The 6,000-nt window shown below is 44.7% G+C and overlaps 1 protein-coding gene across 2 annotated transcripts in view; it reads left to right on the forward strand.

Moving 5' to 3' along the window:
• POU2AF2 (POU class 2 homeobox associating factor 2) overlaps positions 1-6,000 on the forward strand; it is a 40,677-nt gene extending 34,677 nt beyond the window's left edge. For both annotated transcript variants that reach the window (NM_198498.3, XM_011542804.3), the window contains 3 exons: positions 997-1,039; positions 3,675-3,976; positions 5,252-6,000. In NM_198498.3, coding sequence (NP_940900.2) covers positions 997-1,039; positions 3,675-3,976; positions 5,252-5,653 — 747 coding nt within the window. In that variant the 3' untranslated portion in view covers positions 5,654-6,000. The remainder of the gene's footprint in view (positions 1-996; positions 1,040-3,674; positions 3,977-5,251) is intronic.

The raw sequence follows: 6,000 nt of genomic DNA on the forward strand, positions 1-6,000 counted from the left end.
TACTCATGGTTAACTGCAGTCTGAACATACTAAATGCGAAATTCCAGAAATAAACAATTTCTAGATCTTAAATGGCATGCCTTTCTCAGTGGTGTGATGAAATTTCATTCAGTCCCACTCTGTGCTGCCCAGGACTTGAATCTTACCTTTGTCCAGCCAATCCACACTGTCTACACCACCTGCCCGTTAGTGTCTCAGTAGCCGACTCAGTGATTGGATCACCTGTCTCTGTATGGCAGTGCTTGTGTTCAAGTCACCCTTATTGTATTTCACAATGGCCCGAAAGCACAAGAGTAGTGACACTGGCAATTTAGATATGCCAAAGAGAAGCCGGAATGTGCTTCCTTTAAATGAAAAAGTAAACGTTCTCAACTTAATAAGGAAAGAAAAAAAATGTATGCTGAGGTCAGACATTGGTATGGTAAGAACAAATCTTTTGTCTGTGAAATTGTGAAGAAGGCGAAAGAAATTCATGCGAGTTTTGCTGTTGCACCTCGAACTGCAAAACTGTGGCCACAATGCATGATAAATTCTTAGCTAAGATGGAAAAGGCATTGAGTTTGTGGGTGGAGGACATGATGGCAATCAGGTGTGGTGCTATCCTCAGTTTTAGGAACCCACTGGGGAGTCTTGGAACATATCCCTCGTGGGTAAGGGGAGGCTACTGGATATGCGTATATATAGTCACTTAATATATATTGGATGAGGGAATGTTAACTGGAACAGTAGAAGATGAAGGATAAATTACTACATTTCATCCAGCCAGTGCTTTCTGGCATGTTTATCAAAATGTAAAAGTGTGGTTGCTCTTTGTCCCTTGTAAAACTTTGTTCTATGGTACTTGAATTCTTATTCTCAGTTGACCTGAGGGTCAACCCAACTCCCCAGATAATACTTCTGAATATCATAAAACCAAGCTTATAAGGTGTATTCCTAATTTTTATTAAATTCAAACTTACAACTAAAGAAAACACTTGAATTCTGTTTACCTTCCAGGGCAGCGTCAGTTCCTCTCAGTCTCCATTTGTGCAGATGCCAGGTGAGTACTTTAATTCAATAAGCAATTATTCCCTTTTGAATTTAAATCAAGCATCTGGGCTTCCATTCTTTCATAACGACCTTACAACACTTCCAAAACTCTGCTCCTTTAAAATAGTTTTGTCTAAAATACAAAATCAGCGAAGGACAGAACTCATGCAGTAATTTCTGAATTTAAAATTCATTTTGTCTTGAAAGCAGCCCTTTTATCCCAAGCTTTTGGGGCAAAGGCAATATAAATTATGCCCTTGATACAGTTTTAAATTGTCTAAAGTTCTGACACCATGATCTGATAGATGAGGCATCTGCTTTCAAACAGAAAGGGGAAAGCCGTCTGCGAGCAGAGGGAGTCAGGCATTTGGTTCAGTATTTTGAATTCATTTCAATGCCTATGTCTCATTAAATACTCCTGTGGGGATGTAAAAGGGGAATTCCTAATAATACTGTTGGACATTCTTGTATAAACACACACCACACAGGCAAAGACAATCTCATTTAGTTCAACTCAGACGCGGCACATTCCCTAATAGTTTTATCACCTTCAGAGCTGGATAAGGGAAAGGAATAAGAGCAATCGAGGATCCCGAATATTTAAATGTCTGTATGTTGTTTCCCAATCATATATAGTGCCATTGAAATTTGGTGGCATCTCCTGCCTTCTACAGAAAAAAAAAAGAAAAATTTCCATAGCTTCTCTTTATCTAGAAATTATCCTTTCTCTTTGTACAGAGAAAATCCATGCTAAGAGAGCAGAGGCTTTTTTCTTCGTGGTTGTTTTGATTTGGAAATTGGGAGTATAGATGAGAGCCTGGAAACCTTGTTTTCATATTCTCAACCTTAACCGCTCTCATAAATATAATTTCATTGTATGAAACAGAACCTTATTTATTTATATTAAGGTTCAGCTGCACAGATTTTTTCCCAAGGAAGTATGCTTATAATGAAAACCCTAACTTCAGCTTTCAAATGCATGAGCAGGTTAGAAGTTATAGAATGTAAGATGAAAGTGAAGTGAGTGGAGTCGTGCCACAGGTTTTGATGGGGAATTTTGATTTCTTCTTCTGGATGAATAAATTCACATGCCATTCTTGAACACAATGTTATACTACTAGGTTTAAAGAAAATGTATAAGGCATGAGATCTGCCCCCTTGGGCTCGCAGGTTGACTGGAAAGATCATTGTGACTCAGGTGAAAGAGGAATGAGCATAATATAAAGTGCCACATCCTGTGGAACGGGCTGGAATTCTGTGTCTATAGAATCAGAAGCTCAGAAGTGGTCTGCTGCTGTGGTTGGGGTAAGGTAAGGAAGACAGGCACTTATATCTTCTCCCCAGTTCAGCCTTTTTGTGACCTATGACCTAAGGGTGTTGGTGTTAGCATTAGATCACACCCAAGGCCAGCTGGAACAATTAAACCATCAGTTTTATAGACCTCAAGTCTATGCCCTCAAACATGTTCTGAATGATCAGTGTTTTCTGCTACAACTGAGCTACGGGGTCAGAAAGTGTTGAGCAAACACACCTTTTTCCTTGGAAACCATTTCACTGCTGGGCTTACCTTAAATGAAGCTCTTATCAGTTTCTGTCCCTCCCTCTCTCCACCAAGGAAAACTTTTTACTTTTTTTTTTTTTTTTTTTGAGACGGACTCTTGCTCTGGGCGAGATCTCAGCTCACTGCAACCTCCACCTCCCGGGTTCAAGTAATTCTCCTGCCTCAGCCTCCTGAGTAACTGGGACTACAGCAGCTGTGATTACAGGCATGGTGGCCCAGCTGATTTTTGTATTGTTTTTAGTAGAGATGGGTTTTCACCATGTTGGCCAGGATGGTCTCAATCTCTTGACCTCGTGATCCGCCAGCCTGGGCCTCCCAAAGTGCTGGGATTACAGGTGTGAGCCACCGAGCCTGCACCACCAAGGGAAACTTTATGTAGCCGGCACTGTCTTCCTAAACGTGCTGGGCCCTGGTGAGTTGAGTGAAGGAGTCCATGAGGCCACAAGAGGGCAGCAAATAACATAAAACTCATCAAAACCCTAAAACTACAGGCCTCTAAAATTGGCTTCTGTGTGGCCATCTAATCCTAAAGAAAGTCATTTATTGATGTCTGCCAGGCGTGCGACCCAGTGTAAGGTCAATGTGTGAAGAATTAGAAGGCAGAGTACAGCCTGCCTCTTTGAGGTGGGGTTATATGTGTTACCTTATCCAGACATAGCGATCTCAGATAACAGGCCAGGAGCACCTCTTGTTAACAGTTCTATGTATATGGAGAGGTAGCTCCGATGTTGTGAAAAAGATGCTTCCTTGGTTAAAATATGAATGCCAAGAGATTATTTCATTTATGTCTTCCTAGCACAGCGCCGGTCACCGGGAAGGTACTCAGTAAATGTGAATGAATGAACAGACACGGTACTGTCTAAAATGAACTCACCCCTAAAGGCGACAATGTTTTCAAACGTTAGTTATTTGGGCTAATGCAGGAATATTTCACGCTTTTCAAGACATTTCTCTATTTCCATGTTAGCGTTGGAGTCAGGCACGCGTTAGTAACATCGTTTCCCAGGCAGAGACTCAGCTGCAACCGAGGCCTTGACCGCCCTGGGAGGAATTTTCTGCCCATGTGTTTTTCATTTGGCAACAGGTTCGCCGGTCACGTCAGGTTACTACGGTGTCAGAAGATCTTTCTTATCTGACTCAGACTTCCACAACAGTAAACAGTTTTCAAATGACGTCTACACCTCCAGCGTGGGGAAGCCGTTTCCCTGTGAGTCCTCCGCAGGGCAGAGCCATGCGGCTCTCCTGGAGCCCTACTTCCCCCAGGAGCCCTACGGAGACTACCGGCCTCCGGCGCTGACGCCCAACGCGGGCTCTCTGTTCAGCGCCTCGCCCCTACCGCCGCTCCTGCCACCGCCCTTCCCCGGAGACCCAGCTCACTTCCTATTTGTGAGTATGCAGAGACCTCGTGTGAGGGAGTAAAAGAGGGGCGAGGCTCGCCCTCTGGCCAGCCGCTGTGCTTGGCATCCGGGTTGAAGCCAGGTCTGGCTCACCCTGTAGACTCCAGAGGCTGCTTTGCAGCTGCCTAGAGATGCCAGGACACCCTCCGAGGGAGCCTTGTTCAAGGATCCCTGTTAGCCATGACAGCCAGGAGCGTCTACGCAGGGCTTGGAACCGGGAGGAATGTGCAGCAGGATTTATATCCATTTTGTTAATGCTCTACTGATATTGCCTGATGTTCCCCCACCCTGTTAGTGCCAGTCGTCATCATTCCTGCAGCCCCTAAGGAAGGAACACTGAAGCTGCATCTCAGACATGCTAGGCAGTAATGAGATGGATCATAATCTCCCAAGGAGGGTACATAGGGCTCCTCTTTCTTTCCAAGTCCCCTGCCTCCCCTTCCCCACATTTTTAGCCTAAAAATCCTTGTTCTCTCTCAATCCTTCCAAACAGGTGAGTTCATAAAGATCTGAAGATTGCTAATGCTCATAGAGAATAGTAAAGGTTTCTACCACAAAGTAATGAAGCTCTAAAGACAGGAGTTTAGACAAAAGGGAGAGGATGAGAATTCACATTATTAAGTATACTCTATGCCAGGAAATGTGATGTGTTCATTCAATACTTGCAACAACTCAGGATATATTTATGAAAGTCCCATTTTACAGATGAGCAATGTCGGGCTCAGAGTCAGGAGGAGCCACGAATGAATCCAAATCTTTCTAGCTCCAAACTTACGGGATTCCTACCTCTTTCCTCCTGCTTTAATGAGGACAGAGTGGGCTTCTCAGTCCCCTCAAAAATTCACCATGGAGTTGAAGGCCTACTCCGAGGAGTGGGCCAAGCGCTGACCTTCCCCACTGTGTAAATGGCATTCTAGGACCCAGACTAATGGGAGACTCAAAAAGAATCCAAGACAGAGTGCATTGCACACAGTAAAATGTTGCATACATGTGCATTTTATTAGTCTCACATTTCACTCATTTAATGTTGTCTTCTGGGAAAAGGAATCTCAATATCTATAGCAAATCTAATTCTAGAGTAGGAAGGGAGGAAAACTTTCACTGCTGGTGTCAAAAGCCGGAGAGAAGAGCAGCCTGAGAGCCAGGCTTCAGGCAGCAGAGAGAGGGGACGAAGGCTGCCCTGAAGCCACAGTCTGGCAGCACACAATGTATCATCAGAGTGTCACCTAGTGAATAACCTCCGTGGCCTTTCCATTCTCCTCAGAGGGACTCATGGGAGCAGACGTTGCCTGACGGTCTCAGCCAGCCTGACCCTGTGTCTGCCGATGCCCTGCTGACCTTGCCACCCAGCACGAGTTGCCTCTCCCAGCTTGAGTCCGGGAGCATCGCCCAGCACAGGGGCTCAAGCTGGGGGTCATCCCTGGCTGGGGCTCAGTCATACTCGCTGCATGCTCTGGAAGATCTGCACCACACTCCGGGGTACCCTACCCCGCCTCCTTACCCCTTCACCCCTTTCATGACGGTGTCAAATGACCTACCGCCCAAGGTGGGGCCACTCTCCCCAGATGAGGAAGCAGACACCGGTTCCCTCCATGACCCTTCCCCTTGGGTGAAAGAAGATGGGAGTATTGCCTGGGGGTCATATGAATGCCGCAGAGCTTATTGAGGGGAGGGCCAAATGACTTCTGGGTTTTTCTTTAACTTGAGGTGTATTCCAAAGATTGTTTTAGGTGTGTCAGCCCATTCAGGACTGGATTTTCAGAATAAGCCTCAATGCTGCTCTTTGTTAGTGGACGAGGGCATTTATTTGTAATCCTCTCCACTGTAACCCCACTGAAATAAAACAGAATGTTAATTAAATGTGTCAGAGACCGTATTCTAGTAAGATAACCTTACAATGTGGTCTTTTTGGAACTGTTGTAACCCATTACGTTCTGAATCTTCTGTTATCTTTGAAGTATCATTTTTGGCACTGATTTTTCTTAAATTACATTAAAAAGTTTATGCAGATCA

This window comes from Homo sapiens, chromosome 11 (assembly GCF_000001405.40).
Source record: "Homo sapiens chromosome 11, GRCh38.p14 Primary Assembly".
In the NCBI taxonomy this organism is placed as follows: Eukaryota; Metazoa; Chordata; class Mammalia; order Primates; family Hominidae; genus Homo; species Homo sapiens.